Raw genomic sequence first — 18,790 nt, forward strand, 5'->3', positions numbered from 1 at the left:
TGCCTATTCTGGGTTCTTCCAGATTTCATTATATGATTCTGGAATCATAAAATACGTGATTTTATGATAAATATGATAAATTGAATCATAAAATATGTGGCCTTTTACATCTGGCTTATTGTATTTAGCATAATGTTTTAAAGGTTCACCCATGTTGTAGCATGGATCAGTTCATCATTCCTTTTTATTGCTGAATCATATTCTGTTGTATGGTTACTACTACATTTTGTTTATCCCTTTGTTCGTTAATGGACATTTGGGTTGTTTCCACCTTTTGGCTATTGTGAATAGTGTTGCTATGAACACTGTTGTACACATTTTTGTTTGAACACCTGTTTTCGATGCTTTTGGCTATATACCTAGTGGTGGAATTGCTGGGTCATATAATAATTCCACGTTTAATTTTCTTGATGAACCGCCAAACTGTTTTGCGCAGCGGCTGCACCATCTTTCATTTCCAGTGCCCTCTCTCTTGACCTGGCATCTTTAAGTGCTTTGAAATGATTTTTCTTGGCTGTCATGCTTCCCTTCTACTCCCTCGAAGACAGCTTTCAGAATCTTCTGGTTGACAAGAACTTATCTGTTGAACAGCCCCAGCTAATGTGCTGATGGGAAAAGGGAAGGGATGTCTTGTCTGAGCCCAGTGCAGTATCACAGGGGCTTCTGGGGCAAATCTCTCCATCTTTGCTGTTTAATACAGAGGAAATGGTGCTAATGGTGGAAATGTAGGTGGAGGGGGACCGTGGCTGTGACAGGAGGGGTCCTGATTTGGGAGCAGGTCAGGCTGTATAGAAATGCCTGCTTTGGCCAGGCACAGTGGCTCACATCTGTAATCCCAGCACTTTGGGAGGCAAAAGCAGGAGGATGCTTGAGCCCAGGAGTACAAGAAAAGCCTGGGCAACATAGTGAGACCCTGATATGGTTTGGCTATGTCCCCACCCAAATCTCATCGTGAATTGTAGCTACCATAATTCCCACATGTTGTGGGAGGGACCCGGTGGGAGGTAATTGAATCATAGGGGTGGTTTACCCCATACTGTTCACATGGTAGTGAATAAGTCTCATGAGATCTGATGGTTTTATTTATTTATTTATCTATTTACTTATTTTTGAGACAGAGTTTCACTCTGTCACCCAGGCTGGAGTGCAGTGGCGCCATCTCAGCTTAGCTCACCGCAACCTCTGCCTCCCAGGTTCAAGTGATTCTCCTGCCTCAGCCTCCCAAGTAGCTGGGATTACAGGCACCCGCCACCACGCCTGGCTAATTTTTGTATTTTTAATAGAGATGGGGTTTTACCACATTGGCCAGGTTGGTCTTGAACTCCAGACCTCAGGTGATCTGCGCACCTCAGCCTCCCAAAGTGCTGAGAATACATGCATGAGCCACCACGCCTGGCCAAGATCTCGTGATTTTATAAATGGGAGTTCCGCTGCACCAAGTTCTCTTTCCTGCCACCATGTAAGACGTGCCTTTGCTTCTCCTTTGCCTTCCATCATGATTTTGAGGCTTCCCCAGCCATGTGGAACTGTGAGTCCACTAAACTTCTTTCCTTTATAAATCACCCAGTCTTGGGTATATCTTTATTAGCAGTTTGAGAATGGACTAATACAGACCCTGTATCAAAAAAAAAAAAAAAAAAAAAAAAAAAAAAAGCTAGGCATGGTGGTGTGTCCCAGCTACTTAGGAGGCTGAGGCAGGAGGATCGCTTAAGCCTAGGAGGTTGAGGCTGCAGTGAGCCATGATCATGCAACAGCACTCCACCCTGGGGACAGAACAAGACCCCATCTTGGAGAAAAAAAAAAAGAAAGGAAGGGAGGAAGGAAGGGAAGGGAGAAGAAATACCAGCTTCAATGGCCCTGTCTCCAACACAGGGACTGTCCAATTCTAATAACATTCTTCAAACACCTGGGGAACTTACTCAAATAAAGAGAGCGTGTAAATTAAGGGGAATTATTAAAGAAACTAAGATATTGCTTATGTATTTTAATTGTACTAATTAAGCTTGCAAGCTTATAATACAATGAATGAAAGGGCCTGGACTTTTCTTGTTCTATCCATCCATTCATACAACACTTATTTATTGAGCTCCTGCTGTGTTCCAGATGCTGTACTTGGGTTCAAGGGTATGAATGAGAATGAGTCAATTGTGGTCTCTGTCCTTTGGAGACACTTTGCTTTGTGGGTCACTTTTGGCACTGGACAATCACAGCCCTTTCCTCAGGGTGCCTCAGCGCCTGCCCCAGGAGTTGGATTCCAAAATCAACACAGGAGAAATCTAGGTACAGAAAAAAGTTTAGCAATCCTTAAATTCCACATGAAGGTCAATGTTCATGGTTTTGTGTTTATTGCCTGAACGTAAATAGTTATGCAAAACCCTACACCATAGGAGGGAAAAACAAAAGGACAGGCATGTCTCAGTGGGAATGCTTTTGGCTGCAAGTAATGGAGAATGCAATGCAGTTAGCTTAACAATGAAGGAAAATGCATCATTTCACATAGCAAGAAAGCCACACGGAGGGCAACTCTGAAGCTCGTTTCTCTTTCCATGCTGTCCATGGGCTGTGTCCTCATGGTTCCAGGATGGCTGTACAGTTCCTCCCCTCCTATGCAGACATCACATCACTAAGTGGAAGAAGAGGGGCTCCACTTCTTTCTTCCTTGTGTCTTTTTTTTTTTTTTCCTAGATGCCTTCTAGTTTCACTTTTCCATGGAGACCTGTAAATCATCTGCAATTAGTCTTTGTGTCTGGTGTGAGGCAGGGACCCAGGTTCATTGTTTTACCATACAGATATTCAACACCATTCGTTGAAAAAGACTTTCCTTTCCTCCTTGGCACTTTCCTCAAAAATCAATTGGCTGGGCCAGGCACGGTGGCTCACGCTTGTAATTGCAGTACTTTGGGAGGCTGAGGTGGGTGGATCACCTGAGGTTAGGAGTTCAAGACCAGCCTGGCCAACGTGGTGAAACCCCGTCTCCACTAAAAATACAAAATTAGCTGGGCATGTGGCAGGAACCTGTAATCCCAGCTACTCAGGAGGCTGAGGCAGGAGAATCACTTGAACCCTGGAAGCAGAGGTTGCAATGAGCTGCGATCATGCCACTGCACTCCAGCCTGGGCAACAGAGTGAGACTCCATCTCAAAAAAAAAAAAAAAAAATCAATTGGCTGTAGTATTTGATAGCACAACAGGGTGGCTGTAGTCAATAATAGCTGTATATTCAAAAATAACTAAAAGTATAATTGGATTGTTTGTAACACAAAAGATAAATGCTTGAAGCTTGAGGGGATGGATACTCCATTTTCCATGATGTGATTATTACGTATTGCATGCTTGTATCAAAACATCTCATGTACCCCATAAATATATACACCTACTATGTACCCACAAAAATTTAAAAAAAAAGTCAATTGGTTATCTATGTATAGATCTATTTCTGGACTCTGTCCTGTTCTATTGACTTATTTGTCTTTCCTCTTGCCTTTCCCATGCTGTCTTAATTACTGTTGCTTTGGAATAAGACTTCAAGACTTGCAGGCAGTAGAAGTCCTCTGACCTGGTTCTTTTGTGTCTCTTGAAGACACATGAGTACACACTCTTTCATGGCCCGTTGGCCAAAATTGCATCAAATGCCCATTCCCAGCCCAGTCACTGGCAAGGGGAATGGGATTACAGGGTGACCTAGTCCATCAGGGTTTCCTTTGGGGAGAGAAAAGGGTTACCCTTCCTCAAGTTGTGTGGAGGAAGAATAGTCACCTGAACCAGAAAGCCAGAGGGAAAGCCAGGCTTTCCAGGAAGAAGGTAGGGAAGAATTTAGGATAGGAAGCCAACAGTGTCTGCCAAAATACACAAAACAGTTAAATGGAATTTTTAATTATGAGATAGAGAAAGAGGACAGAAGAATAAAAGGACAGACAGTAAACTTCAACTCACGTGGATATTCTTGCCAGCCACTGATGACAATGGTAAAGGTGACAAAATAGCCATAAATGACAAGAAGGCTTAGTTTACTGCCTGAACAGTGAGGAATGACCCCTGCCAATGAGGCGGGCTCCTTCTCCCCTGACTTCAGCATCAGGGGCTCAGCAGGGCATGAGCCCTGTCCAGGGGACACTGGGCTAGGGCTGGGTGGCGGGGAGCGAGTCTCAGAGCGCTTGGCCCTGGTTTAGCTTTTACTTGTTTGTTCTTGAAACATGGGGATGGGCAACAGTTTCTGCATCTCTTGAGCTGCCCAAATATTTCTTGGGATGGTCTCAAACCATTCCTTACGGTCCATGTGACTTGGAGGCTGGTCCATAGAGGGGCTGGATTCAGCAGTAAATCATCTAGTGCTGGCTGACTGGAGCACTCGGCGCAGGCTTGCAGATTCTAACTTCTTGGCTCCTGCAGCCCATCCTCGGTAGCTTCATCTTCCCAGTTGTTTGTCAGTTCCTCCGACTTCCTGCTAGCCTTGTTTTCCAGGCCCTCGCTTAATTCTTTAATTTTTCCTAGAGGAACGAAACAAGGATTTGAAACAGTTTTTAATTCTCAGGCCCTGGGAGGGCAGAACCCCTGCTTCATTCCCGGGGTTATTTCTCTACCTCCTTTTTTTGCCCAGGCCTTCTGGTGACATATGAGTAGACTGTGACTTTCCAGCCTTTCAAAGGTGCTTAATGTCTGAAGCTTGAGTCAGAGTCCAGCCTGGGGAATTGCTCGAGAGGACTATGAGTGTCTGAGGAAGACACCGAGCTCCTGGTTAGTTCTAGAAGAAGCTCTGCTTGCTGGGATTCCTGTACAAATCATTGCCCCATGTTTCTGGGGCAGCATGGAGTGGTGAGGTGGGTCACAGGATTTGTGGGAAGGCACACGCCAACACACAGCCCAGTCCAGACACAGGACTTCACCTCTCGGAGCCTCAGTTGTCTCATCTGTTCCATGAAGAGGAGATGTTGACGTTAGAGGTTGCTGAGGGAGCACCTGAGGAGGGGGTCAGTACGGGGTCTGGCCTTCCCCGAGGCTCTGGCCAATCCTCTCCACCCTTAGTATTTTTACTCTCTCAGAGGAACAGAGAAGATTCCCTGAGGATGAGGGCTGGGGTGGGATGAAGTGAGTGGGGGATGTTAGAATTGCAGATTTATTTATTTTTATTTTTTGAGACAGAGTCTCGCTTTGTCGCCCAGGCTGGAGTACAGTGGTGCGATCTTCGCTCACTGCAACCTCCGTCTTCCAGGTTCAAGCAATTCTCCTGCCTCAGCCTCCCAAGAAGCTGGGATTATGGATGCCTGCCACCATGCCTGGCTAATTTTTGTATTTTTAGTAGAGACGGAGTTTCACCATGTTGGCCAGGTTGGTCTCAAACTCCTGACCTCAGCTGGTCTGCCCATCTCGGCCTCCCAAAGTGCTGGGATTGCAGGCGTGAGCCACCACGCCCAGCCTAGAATCACAGATTTAATGCGGCCAAGACTAGAAGGCATTTGGGGAGCAGGGAATAGGAAAGAGTAAGGAAGGGCGATTGGTAGGGAGAAGTCATTTCTCGTGCACTGACCATGTATTCAGAGTCCGGGGTTTTGATCTGGCCCCTCTGCACATGGATCCCCAGTGCAGACGCAGTGCATGGAACTGAGTTCATGAGCCAGGGCTGAACTCGGCAGGTTGAGCAATACCCGTGCCTGTTTCCTTTAAGTGGATGGCCCATAGCATATTTTTGCTCTCTGTAGCTGTCTGCAACAAATGTGCTACGTTAGGAAACAACTCCGCTGAGACCGCTTCTTCTGGAAAGAGAGGAGAAGTGTGGGGTTCCCAGGCAGCCTGCAGTCAAGTCAAGGTGGTGGGATGGAAATTGATTGATGAGGTTCAGTTGTGTTTTCTCTGGGCTGCTGCACTGCAGCCTTGCTCACTTTTGCTATGCGACCATAGTTACATTCTTGGGAAGCCCCGAGCACTCGGAGAGGATGGTGCTTGGGGCAGCACCTCCAGTCATCCTGGATGGGCATTGGGGTCAGGCCAGACATTACTCTTTGATGGAGCTATGGCAGACAGATGACAGGTGCCTGCTCAAGCCTCTCTTCCCTGGCAGTTGGGGGAAGCAGTGCCAAGATGAGCCTAGACTTCCCCTCGCATCCTTCCTCTGTCTCTGAGGGACCGGGGTGGTGGTTCCAGAGTGGTAAGGCTGCAAGAAACATCAGAGGTTATCTTGTTAGCCTCCCTTCCGTCTCAGAATCATTTTATGAATGAAGAGACCAAGCTCCCGGGAGGGGAGGGCTTTGCTCCAGGTAGCCAGGCTGTTTCAGGACTGAAATCCATGATTCCTTTTGCCCCCGGTGACCAGCTCGGGGAAAGGTATCTTGCTTTTTTTCTTTGGGGCCAGCTTTGCCCTTACATCCTTGATGGGTAGATTTGTGGCTTCCTGGCATCTACAAGGTCTACCCTCCAAACTTCTCTGCTGTGACCTGTCTGAAATGCACATCAAATCAGATGGCTTTCTGGCCTGCATTCTTCAATAGCTCCCCAATGTCCTCAGAAAAACCCCAAGTGCATTTGCAAGATACCAGAGGTCCTTTGTGATCTAGTCTTTGTTCTCAGCTTGCCATCCCCTGGCTGGTTACATAGGGCTACCTGTCAGTGGGTGTCTCAGATCTCCCTGCCTTCGCACATGCTGTTCCTGCTCCTCAAATACCCTTCCCTGCTTGTTCCTTAAGACTTCTCAGGCTCATTCTGTGGCCTCCTCTGACCTCTTAGGCTCAGTCACTCCTTCCTCTGAGTTCCCAGAGTGCTTGGTAATTCCTCTATTAGCACTTACCTCATTGACTTAGAATTATTTGTTTACATGTCTCTTCTCCCCAGAGTGGGAAGCATGTCTTCTGCATCTTCATCCCCCCACCCCCCGCTGCTGCTCTCGCTGCCTAGCAGAGTGCCTGACCACAGCTTGGGCTCAGCAAATGTTTGTGGTGTGAATGACCGAAGGACCTTTGTCCCCAAATGTTCCCTGCACTGTGCCTGAAATGTCACCATTTATGAGTCCTGCCTGGTTCCTGGCTCCTGTTGGCTTTTGCCTTCCCACAGCTGGGACCTCTTTCTCCAACAGCTGGCCCAGCCCTGCCCAGACTCTGGGGGTTATCACAGACTTAGCCCAGGGAGATTTAAAGAGCCAGCATTAAGAAGTGCAGGTGACTCAACTTCCTGTGAACTTGGCTGCAAGTTCCACTCCCTTGCTGGGTCTGGGCACCTGGTGGCACTATATTCCACGAGACTGGTAGCTCCGTGGGAGACCATTTCCCTCGGACCCCAGCTCTGGGCTAGAACAGAGTCCCTGCGGATGTGTGCTACCTCCCGCTGTGGCCAATGCCCAGCTGCCAAGCTTCTCTGATGCCTGCTGCCCCATTCAGGTGGCACACCTTCCTTGGGCACCTAGCATGTGCCGGGCACAGGATCTCTGCCATAGAACTCACAGCCAGAGTGGGAGAGGCAGGGCCCCAGACATGACATGGGCTGTACGGTGTGGTCAGAGCCAGGACAGGGCTCAGAGAAATGTGGGTTGCAGGGCAAGGGTTCAGAAGCAGCCTCAGAGGTGGGGTCTGAGCTGAGACCGAAGAGGAAAGGAAGAGCGTGGCGGAGGGGTGGCTTCCTGGCTGACGACTCTGCAGGGACAGGGGCTCAAGAAAGCGCCCCCCATCACTCACAGACCTAGAGCCCTCAGCCATGTCTCTGGGAGCATGGTGTTCTCGGAGGAGGGATTGAGGGGATTAGCTACCTTCTCGCACATGACTCAAAACCCGGCATTTCCACAAAAGCTGCGGTTTATTTATTCAGACAACATTAGTGCCTCCCCACCATGTGCTTGGATATGGGCTGGGAACTAGGGGCTCATCCAGTGTAGACCAAGGCCTAGCCGTGCCCTCAAGGGGCTTATAGGCCAGCGGGGAGAGAGGCCTGGAAACAGGTCCCGAGAGCACAGCCTGAGATAAGCAGCCGTGCCTGAGCCCATCTGGATCTGCCCGGAGCAGGAGGCTGAACCCAGTCCCAGGCAGCACCTCACGTGGGATGCAGCATCCACACATGCAGCCCATGGGGCTGGGGAGGTGGATGGGCAGGAGGATAGCCCTCATCCTCTGGAGTCACCAGGTGACCGTGTGACAATGTCTTTTAACACAAGGGAGGCAGCAGAGCCCTGGGCCTTTGGAGTCTTTCTAGATCTGGCCTCTGATCTTGTCTTCATTGTTTGATAATTGAGTGACCTGGAGCAAATGCCTTCACCTCTCTGAGCCTCAGTTTGCTCCTCTGTAAAATGGGCTTAGGGTTAGTATTTCATTCTAGGGTTGCAGCCAGTCTTCAAGCAAATAACTGAAAATGCTTAGAACATGGTTAACAACAAGACTTCTTGTTGATTATAATAGCAGTAGTGCTTGCAATAACCGGGAAGCACAGAGCCCACCTGGCAGAAGGAAAACGAATGGCAAAGTTTGTGTGTGTGTTGGGGGGCGGGGGTGGGGGGATTTGTCGCAGCACTGGGTGGAGGGAGCTGCAGAAGCCAGGGTCCGCTTTGGCCAGGCAGGGGTGGGGGGAGTTGGGGCTGGAGGGAGACTGGGGCCGTTGCGCCTCCCCCTCCCTCTCTCCCGCCCCCGGCGCGCCATCGGCGGGAGGCGCAGGTGTCCACTGCATCCTGCGCGTCCCCATCCCTCGCTGCCCTGGCCGGGGCCCCAGCTCCTTTCTGCCTTCCGCCCCGCGTCCTCCCCTAACCTCGGATCTGGACGGGCGAACAGTGGGGCTGGGAAAGTTTGAGTCACGATTGGGGGAGGGGAGGAGGCGGGCCGTGACCCTGAACGGGGTGGGCTCTAGGACCCGCCTCGGGCGCCCAGCAGGCGGACCCGCCGCGCGCCCCTATCCCTCGCGCACTGGCCGCGGCCCGACGGAGCAAGGCACTGCCTGCAGCCGCCGTGTGCACCGGGGCGGCCGGCTAGCTCCGACCTGCGCCTCCACCGCAGCACCCGCAGCCAGAGCCGCGCTCGGCATGATGCCCGGGGCGCCGCTCCTGCGGCTGCTGACCGCGGTCTCTGCGGCAGTGGCAGTGGCAGTGGCCGGGGCGCCCGGGACGGTAATGCCCCCCACCACGGGGGACGCCACCCTGGCCTTCGTCTTCGACGTCACCGGCTCCATGTGGGACGAACTGATGCAGGTGATCGATGGCGCCTCGCGCATTCTGGAACGCAGTCTGAGCCGCCGCAGCCAGGCCATCGCCAACTACGCGCTGGTGCCCTTCCACGACCCAGGTAGCGCCCCCGCACCCCCGCCCGCCGGGCGCCCCCTTCGAGGTGCTCTCACCTGCCTGACCCCCTCAGTTGGCCCCGAACGCACCTGGACGTCGTGGGCTGCGCCGCGGCTTGGCGGGCGCGCCTTCTCGGCATATCCGCGCTGCGGGTACCCTGGCCACCTGGGCAGTCCTTGCAGCTGTCCCTTCCCTCCCACCCCCCTGGAACATTCCCTCGCTCAAGGAACCTGCTCTCCCTGCTCTCCCGCGCCGTTGTGAGACTTCAGCAAGTGACCTCACCTTCCCGCGCCTTACCGGCCCCACCTATGAAATGGTGAGGATGGCCTCCCAGACTTGCTGAGATGTTGAAATGAGGCATTCCTCTCGAGGACTTGGGACGCTACGAGCCTTTGCAGGGCTTTTCCTTTGGCCAATTCTTAGAATTCGCTCCCAGCGGAGGCTTGGAGACCGGAATGGCTCCCAGAGGCAGGCCTTGAGACGAAATGGGGTCCACCACGGACCCTGCAGTGGGGAGCGGACTCACCCTTGCTGGTCTTGTCCCCTCGCCTGTCTTCCCTGGGGAAAGGGCAGCGCCTCTCGTGTGCTGGCCCCGTGGCCTCCACCTGCTGTGTTCTCACAGCTGAGTTCCGCCCTAACTCCTTCTTCCCTGCACGCTGCACCTCTGCTTCCCCTTTAACCCCCTGCCTTGCAGCTCAGTGTTAGGGGCGCCCTTGAAAGGGTCCCTGGGCGCTCCACTGTAGAGAGTCCCAGGGACAGCGGTTGCTGAGTGAGCTGCAGGTTCCCAGCGGCGAGGAGCAGGACTGCTTTCCACACTTCTTTTTTTTTTTGAGACAAGGTCTGGCTCTGTCACCCAGGCTGGAGTGCAGTGGCGTGATCACAGCTCGCTGCAGCCTCGAACTCCTGGGCTCAGGTGACCCTCCTGCTTCAGCCTCCCAAGTAGCTGGGACTACAAGCATACGCCACCATGCCTGGCTGATTTTTAAATTTTTTATAGACATGGAGTCTCTCTGTATTGCCCAGGCTAGTCTCAAACTCCTGGCCTCAGTGATCCTCCCACTTAGGCCTCCCAAAGTGCTGAAATTACAAGCATGAGCCACTGCACCCAGCCTCCCCAGCGTTTTTTAATGGAAAATTTCAAACTTACAGTAAAATGGGGAGAAACATACATGGAACCGCCTATGCCCACCGAGAGCCTCTGAGTCATATTTTGCTTTATCACATCTCTCTATCATTCACCCCTCTGTCAAGGATAGCTTTATAAAGCAACAAACAAACAAACAAACAACCCCCCCAAATAAAACACACACACACACACACACACACACACACACACACACACACGCACAGATTCCTTGCTAAATTGTACTGCAGAGTGTTCTTGTGCTGAAGAAATAGACGGTGGCCATTGGCTGTATGAGCCAGCAAGTCCTTGCAGAGGGATTTGCATTTATTAATCACAATACCATTACAGGTTCTTAGAAAATGGACAAAACAGTGGGAAGACATAGTTCTACGTAGGCTTCAGGCTGAGTTTGTGGTCTAGGGGCTTGGAGGCCCCTCTGCTTCCAGGAGTTCTGGGCACCACAGGGTTTTGCAGCTCAAAGCTCAGAAGCCAAGGCTCTAGACAAAGATTTCTAGGAACATCAGATGGACAGCTTCTATCTTGGAGTCAGGGGGCAACCAAGCTGGGGGTTGTGAGGAGGTGGGCTGTGAAGTGTGTTCTGGCACTTAAGCTGGAACACAGGTCACCCTCCGTCTCCCCAGCTCTCTCACCCACTTTCTGAATTGTTCTGGGGCTTCCGAAGACATCACACTGAAGGAGCTTAGAGATCGTTGAATCTACCCCTTTATCTTACAGTTGGAAAAACTGAGGCTCAGGACACTGATGAGACTTTCCCAAGGCCACCTGCCAGGGTGGCGTCATTCCTGAATCATAACCCACATTTGTCTCTGAAATATGTGGCTCCAGTGGCCCAGCAGGATAGCAGCCTTTCAGAGCCAGATGTCGTGTCCTGAAGCCCAGACCAGGGTTCCTGAGACTGTCCTCGCTGCCCCATTTGTGGCCATGAGCCTCAGGAAGCCCACCTCCCACCCCTGCTCTTCCCTCTCCTCTCTGGGCACTGAGCTGGTGGGCAGTTCTCCAGCCTTCACCAGGCTCAGCCCCCTCACTCCATCCTCTATGAAACAAAAATCCAGTTCTCCATCCTGGTTCCCCAAATTAGCTTCCGAGTGACACCCCCAGGTTCAGACGTCGGGGAGACTTCAGCACCATGGAGCCCTTGATCTGTGTAGAGCCCAGGGAGGCTCACAGTGTAAAGGGGCATGGTTCATTCCACGGGGCTGGTAGCCCTCTGGGACAGGCCAGGTGGGGAGTAGAAAGTGACATGTGGTGGCTCAGGTGCCAACTCCTGGCCATGGGCCAGTAAGCAAGGAAGGGGGCTAAGGAAAGACCCCCCCCTGAGGAAGCAGCCTGTGAGTAGGGCCTGAAGAACATCAGTGAATGTTTACTGGGTTTTGGCCGTTTGCCTGGCAGATGCCAGGTGCTGGGAACACAGCAGGGAGAGAGGACTCCCTGGGGCATGTGGAGCTGGCTGGGTAAGGACCGGGGGATGGACAGGAGGGCTGATGTGGAGGGACAGGTGTGTGTGGGAGCTGGGTGTGCACGGGAGGAGTGGAGCGGGAAAGTGGGGAAGGGCAAGATTGGACACAGCCGTGAGTGCAGGGCCGATTGATGCCTTGGCGGACTTGGATTTCCTTTTCCTTCTATGGGCTGTGAACAGCCACCGAGGGCTTCTGAGCAGCAGTTTGGAACTGTGATTTAGGCCTGGCTGTGCCTTTTGAATCAGCAAATAGAATCCCCTTTGGTGGAAGAGGAACTTGAGAAACGGGTTGTAGCTGTTTGTTCCAGCTCCCAGAGCTGCACAGCGGGAGGGTTTTCTTAAAGTAAGCCCCTCTCCTAAACCCCAAGAGGCGGGTGCGGGGCAAATCGTGGCGGTTCTAGACTGTTCCTGCTTGGAGACAAACTAAGATCCGTGCTTCGGAAATTTTACAGTTTCTAAATTAAAAATTGTATGTTCCCAGAGTAGAAAAGTTAGAAATTTGCTAATCATTGCAAAAGAGCCCTGGTTCCTTTTTTTTTTTTTTTTTTTTGAAATTAGTAGTAGAAACCAAGATCTAGTGCTAAAATTTAGGTTGTTTTCAGTGTTTCTATATTAAAATGTTACTAAGAAACTCTCTTGTAAAAATCTTTGTCTGCATCTTTGATTGGTTTTTACGTAGGCTTAAGTTCCTTGAAGTGGAATTCTAGGCCATTTTTAACACACCGAGTGGGGGGACGACTCTTCAGGTTGTTTTCCAGAATGTTTCAGGAGATTGAACTTCCACCAGAACTGTTTCAGGGGCCCGTTTCAGCACAGCCACCCCCAACACTGGAAATTAATATAAAAACCTTTCTTTTCTAATTCAAAAATGGAAAATGATATCTTCTTGTTTCAATTGCTAGTGAGGTTCAATATGTCTTTCAAGCGTTCACTAGATATTTTTGGTATGAATTTCTTATTTTGTAAACTGTCAGTTTCTTTGCAAATTTTTTCATGGGAGTTTTAGTGCTTTTATTTTTAGTTGGAATGAGGACCTTATGTTGATGATGTTATCTGTTTTTTTTTTTGTTGTTGTTTGTTTGTTTGTTTTTTGAGATGGAGTCTCGCTCTGTTGCCCAGGCTGGAGTGCAGTGGCGTGATCTCTGCTCACTGCAACCTCCACCTCCCAGGTTCAAGTGATTCTCCTGCCTCAGCCTCCTGAGTAGCTGGGACTACAGATGCGTGCCACCACGTCCGGCTAATTTTTGTATTTTTAGTAGAGACAGGGTTTCACCATGTTGGCCAGGCTGGTCTTAAACTCCTGACCTCAAGTGATCCACTCACCTCAGCCTCCCAAAATGCTGGGATTACAGGCATGAGCTACCATGCCTGGCCTTAACTGTTTCTTTTTTTTTTTAAGTGTACTTAGTATTTTTCCTGGTTGCTTGTCTTTTAGTATTTGTAATTCTTAGAAGTTTTGAAGTTTTAAATGTTTATGTAGAGAAATCTATTGTTTTTTTTCTTTGTGATTTCTTCACTTAGGTGCTTATAAAGGTTTTTTTTGTTTGTTTGTTTGTTTGTTTTTTTTTTTCCCTATCACAAAACCAGTTAGGCAGATTTTCTAGGGTTTGTGTATGTGTGTGTTTTGTTTTATTTTCCTCTCTTCACATTTAATTCTTCAACTTGAAATTTTAAAAATTGGTAGGCTGGGCTCAGTGGCTCACACTTGTAATGCCAGTACTTTGGGAGGCTGGGGTGTGAGGATTGCTTGAGCCCAGGAGGTCAAGGTTGCAGGGAGCTATGATTGTGCCACTGCCCTCCAGCCTGGGCGACAGAGCAAGACCCTGTCTCAAAAAGAAAACAACAACAACAAAAAGAAAAACAGAAAATCTCAATAAAGTGTGGACTTGGGTTAATAATTATGTATCAATATTTATTTATTAGTTGTGATAAATGTAGCATAGTAATGTAAGATGTTAATAACATCAGCCTTCTGAGTAGCTGGGACTACAGGTGCACACCACCACACCTGGCTAACTTTTTGTAGAGATGGGGTCTTGCTATGTTGCCTAGGCCGATGTCAAACTCCTGGCCTCAAGTGGTCTTCCTGCCTCTGCCTCCCAAAGCAGGGGAATTACATACATGAGCCACGGTGCCCAGCCTTCCTCAGTTTTTCTTTAATGCCCTTTTTCTGCTCCAGGATCCCATCCAGGATACATTAATTGTGTCTTCTTCAGCTCCTCAGGTTGTGAGTTTCTCAGGCTTACTTTCGTTTTGGTGAAATTGACAGTTTTGAGGAATACTGGTCAGCTCTTTTCCCTCAGTCATTATTTGTCTAATGTTTTTTTTCCAGTTAGACTGGGTAATGTTTTGGGAGGAAGACCCAGCATTAAAATACCATTCTCATCGTCTCATATCAAGAGCACACGCTATCACGGTGATGGAACGCTGTTGATGTTAAGCTTGATTGCCTGACTCGGATAGTATTTTTCAGATTTCTCCACTATAGAGTTACTCTTTTTCCCCTCTCTCTTTCCATACTGGGCTCTCTGGAAGAGAGTCACTTACTGTGTGCAGCCCACGTTTAAAAAGCGGGGAGCCATGATCCACGTCCTTGGTGGGGGAGTATCTATCTACATGGATTATTTGGAATTATTCTGCATGAGAGTTGTCTCTTCTGCTCCATTTATTAATTAATTCAATCACTTGTCTACATCAGCATAGAATCATGGCTAGCTATTTTATACTTTGTGTTATGATCCTAAACCACTTTATTTTGCTCCTCAAATGTTTCTGACTGTGGTCATCGGGAGCTCGTTCAGTTGGTTTCTGTGTCCCTTGGACACCCCTCTTGTTGTGCACGTGTGTTTTTTGTTTTTGTTTTTGTTTTCGTTTTTCCCACATTCCTACTTTTTGGCACTGGTAGTGGCTCCAGGCTCATCTTAGGTATTTCCTGCCTCAGTCCTTGAATTCGCTATTTCTCCAAGGAGCCCTGCTTCCTGTGATTGGAAACCAGGATATCCGTGCTAAGTGTGTTTGTTGGTACTGAGGTGCTGTTACTTCTAAAACCTCCCTTAGCTGACAGGGCAAGGAGTTGTATGTTGTATATATAACCTGTGTTTGTACTTGTATCTATACATAGTTTTATATGTAATCATCCGTGTCTATATTAAGCTAAACATGAGTTCATGCTGATATCTTCAACTCTAATTTATATTCGATATTGGATTAGATGTATTAGGTATATGGAGAGTCAAACCTCTTCCTGTTCCTTATCTAGAACCTCCACGTCTAACAGTCAGAAATCTGTCTCCTGCCACCCACCATCCCTTTACTTTACTGTTTAGTTCCAGTATACATTTAAAGTGGTTTCAGAATTGTTGAGTGGGACCCCCACGGGAAACAGCTTTATTAACTAGAATACAGTTCTTTTGCTTTTAGTCTTAACAGACTCCATTCATTTCCAAAATTACTTAGGCCAACACCTTCTTCAGCTTCTTCTTCTTTTTTAAAAAAAATAAATTTTTTTGTTTTTGTTTTTTTGAGATGGAATCTCACCTTGTCTCCCAGGCTGGAATACAGTGGCGCAATCTTGGCCCACTGCAACCTCCACCTCCTGGGTTTAAGGAATTCTCCTGCCTCAGCCTTCTTAGTAGCTGGGATTACAGATGTGTGCCACCATGCCTAGCTAATTTTTGTATTTTTAGTAGAGATGGGGTTTCACTATGTTGGCCAGGCTGGTCTTGAACTCCTGACCTCAAAGGATCCTCCTGCCTTGGCCTCCCAAAGTCCTGGGATTACAGGTGTGAGTCACCATGCCTGGCCTCTTCTTCTTCTTCTTTTAAACTTTGAGACAGGGTCTCATTCTGTTGCCCAGGCTGGGTGGCAGTGGCTCGATCATGGCTCACTGCTTCCTCCATCTCCCCAAGCTCAGGTGATCCTCCCACTTCACCCCCAGAGTAGCTGGGACCACAGGCACATGCCACCACACCTGGCTAATTTTTGTGTGTGTATATATATTTGGTAGAGACAGGGTCTTGCCATATTGCCCAGGTTGGTCTTGAACTCCTGGGCTCAAGCGGTCCACCCACCTTGGCCTCCCAAAGTGCTGGGATTACAGGCCTGAACCACTGCGCCTGGCCGAGCATCTTCTTTTTATTCATATTCTTCATTTGCAAAAGCTTCTTGAGAATTTTATCTTTTAGATGACATGTAGAAAAACTTGTCAACTTCCAAAAATTTTTTTCTACTGTGATTTTTCTTGGAATTGTGTTAAATCTTGATTTTGGGGAAGAGTTATCATTTTCAAAAAACTCTATTGTTCTCATCCATCAGACATGCCTCTTGTTCTGTTCACATTTATTTCTTTTAGTAAAGATTCATAGTTTTTCTTTGTAAAGATTCAGGTTTTTTTTCTCATAGGTTCCACCCTTTTTTTTTTAAAGATTATTTTAAGATAGTTTTGGTTTTGTTACTATTTTGCCCAGAATTTTTTTCCATTACATTTTTTACAAATGAGTATTGCTAGTATGTTGGAAAGGAATTCATTTCATATATTAATTTTCTTTCCAGCTTCTTTTACTAAAGTTTTTTTTAACTACTTCTAATTTTTTGTTAATGTCTTCAGTTTTCTAGGTTGAGAGTCACAGCTTGTCCAAATTATAATACTGTCGCTTCTTTTCCAATCAAATATTTCACGTTTTAAGTGTTTTGTATTATTTATCAGCAAAAACTGTCAGAACAATACCACATAATGGTGATGGCTGCAGTTATCTTGTCTTGCTTTTTTTTTTTATTTTTGAGACTGAGTCTCACTCTCTTGCCCAGGCTGGAGTGCAGTGGTGCAGTCTCAGCTCACTGCAACCTCCGTCCCCCAGGCTCAAGCGATTCTCTCACCTCAGCCTCCTGAGTAGCTGGTATTATAGGCATGCGCCACCATGCCCAGCTAATTTTCGTATCTTTAGTAGAGACAGGGTTTCACCATGTTGGCCAGGCTGGTCCCAAACTCCTGACCTCAGGTGATTCGCCTGCCTCAGCCTCCCAAAGTGCTGGGATTACAGGCGTGCGCCTCCGCGCCCGGCCATCTTGTCTTGCTTTTGATTTTGCACCACTCATTGTATGATATTGATTCTTGGTTTGAGTTTTTGTCATCAAGTGAAAGAAGATGCATTCATTCCTAATTTTACTAAAAAAAAATAAACTCAAAAAACAAGAAAAAGCAAAAACAAAACAAAAAATCCAAACAGGGATGGGTGTTGAATTTTAGCAAGTGATTTTCTGCTTTGTTGCAATGTTTATAAGATCCTTCTCCTGTTGACCTATTAATGTGATACATTAATTTTTTTTTTTTTTTGAGAGACGGAGTCTCACTCTGTCGCCCAGGCTGGAGTGCAGTGGTGTGATCTTGACTCACTGCAGCTTCCACCTCCCTGGTTCAAGCAATTCTCCTGTCTCAGCTTCCCAAGTAGCTGGGACTACAGGTGTGCACCACCATGCCCAGCTAATTTTTGTATTTTTTAGTAGAGACAGGGTTTCACTATATGTTGGCTAGGCTGGTCTCGAACTCCTGACCTCAGGTGATCTGCCCACCTCAGCCTCCCAAAGTACTGGGATTGCAGGTGTGAGCCACCGCGCCTGGCCAATGCGTTAATTTTCAACTATTTTTGCATTTCTTGCATAAGTCCTGCTTGGTCACGGTGGATTATTCTTTAATATACAGCTGGATGATAGTTTCCAGCATTTTGCTTAGAGGTTTTGCCTTTTTCCATTTCATGTGTGCAATCAGTAAGTGGTGTTTTTCCTTTGTGTTTTTTGTCAAGTTTTACCATCAGGGTTTAGCTTTTTCAGTTAATAATCCATTCCCTTCAAGAATCTCAAAATTAATACATGCTTGTAAAATATTCTACTACTACTCTCAAGAGGTGAAAACACTTTTAACACTCTGGTGTCCTTCCAGATCTTGTGTGCATGTATGTGTATACATTCACTCGTGTTAAACATACCTACGTTAAAAAATTATAGTACGTAAAGCATTTTACAACTTGCTTTCTTCCCCCCACATAATATGGCATGAATATCTCTTCCTGTCAGGAAACAGAGATCCTCCCCATTGTTTTTAATGACTCTATAAGATGCCATTGGAGGAATTAGCCTAATTTACCCACCCATCCCCCTACTGTGGAAAATAGGCTGCTTTCAGTTTCTTCACAATAAACACACACATATTTGCAAACATATCTACAGAATAGATTCCCAGAGATAAAATTGCTTTGTTAAAGTATAGGAGCATTTTCCATTTGGAAAGACACCATCCAACTGCCCTCAAACACACTGCGCCATCTTGCGCCTGGACCCACGGAAGATGAGACTGTGTTTCCCCACACCGCCGCCAGCATCCGGGACATCACTCTGCCATTTTTTCCTTGTTTTTTTGCTAGTTTCCTAGGTGGGAGATGGTGTCCTGCCTTAATCAGCATTCATTGATCGTTGGTGACCTTCCAGTCTTCTGGAGTTTCTCCCTGGGTGTCTCTGGGGCTCCTGCGGCTCCATCATCTTTCCCAAGGGAGGAAGTGGCTTTCGCCGGTCAGAGGTGAGGATGCAGGCGTGCAGAGCAGATGTGTTTGGGCCACACACTTGCCTGGGAGCTGGAACGGCTGGGACTCTGGTTGCATGTTCCGGGTTGTGTGTGTGTACCTGTGATTTTTATTGTCACCCTGAGTGACATTGCTATTTTTATTTTTTAATTTATTTTTGAGATGGAGTCTTGCTCTGTCACCTAGGCTGGAGTGCAGTGGCACGATATTGTCTCATTGCAACCCCTGCTTCCTGGGTTCAAGCGATTCTCCTGCCTCAGCCTCCTGAGTAGCTGGGATTACAGGTGCCTGCCACCATGCCTGGCTAATTTTTGTGTTTTTAGTAGAGATGGAGTTTCACTATGTTGGCCAGACTGGTCACGAACTCCTGACCTC

At 48.0% G+C, this 18,790-nt stretch overlaps 1 protein-coding gene and 1 long non-coding RNA gene across 8 annotated transcripts in view, besides 2 other annotated features; one reads left to right on the forward strand and one right to left on the reverse strand.

Annotated features, from left to right (window-relative positions):
* Nucleotides 1,916-2,670: an enhancer, noted in NCBI's record as "OCT4-NANOG hESC enhancer chr9:133021088-133021842 (GRCh37/hg19 assembly coordinates)". NCBI's record gives its function as "activates a minimal SCP1, AML or CMV promoter by ChIP-STARR-seq in naive H9 embryonic stem cells {active_cell/tissue: H9 hESC(naive)}" and the evidence as "EXISTENCE:reporter gene assay evidence [ECO:0000049][PMID:30033119]".
* Nucleotides 1,970-9,996, reverse strand: LOC124902285 (uncharacterized). The gene is made up of 2 exons (XR_007061817.1): nucleotides 9,523-9,996; nucleotides 1,970-6,147 (listed from the first exon to the last, which is right to left on the reverse strand). It is a non-coding gene; the product is annotated as an uncharacterized LOC124902285 (long non-coding RNA).
* The window catches only part of HMCN2 (hemicentin 2), a 168,364-nt gene continuing 158,440 nt past the window's right edge, over nucleotides 8,867-18,790 (forward strand). For all 7 annotated transcript variants that reach the window (NM_001291815.2, XM_011518466.3, XM_011518465.3 and 4 more), the window contains exon 1: nucleotides 8,867-9,244. In NM_001291815.2, coding sequence (NP_001278744.1) covers nucleotides 8,986-9,244 — 259 coding nt within the window. In that variant the 5' untranslated portion in view covers nucleotides 8,867-8,985. The remainder of the gene's footprint in view (nucleotides 9,245-18,790) is intronic.
* Nucleotides 11,755-12,342: an enhancer, noted in NCBI's record as "H3K27ac-H3K4me1 hESC enhancer chr9:133030927-133031514 (GRCh37/hg19 assembly coordinates)". NCBI's record gives its function as "activates a minimal SCP1, AML or CMV promoter by ChIP-STARR-seq in naive H9 embryonic stem cells {active_cell/tissue: H9 hESC(naive)}" and the evidence as "EXISTENCE:reporter gene assay evidence [ECO:0000049][PMID:30033119]".

Source organism: Homo sapiens, chromosome 9, assembly GCF_000001405.40.
Source record: "Homo sapiens chromosome 9, GRCh38.p14 Primary Assembly".
Taxonomy (NCBI): Eukaryota; Metazoa; Chordata; class Mammalia; order Primates; family Hominidae; genus Homo; species Homo sapiens.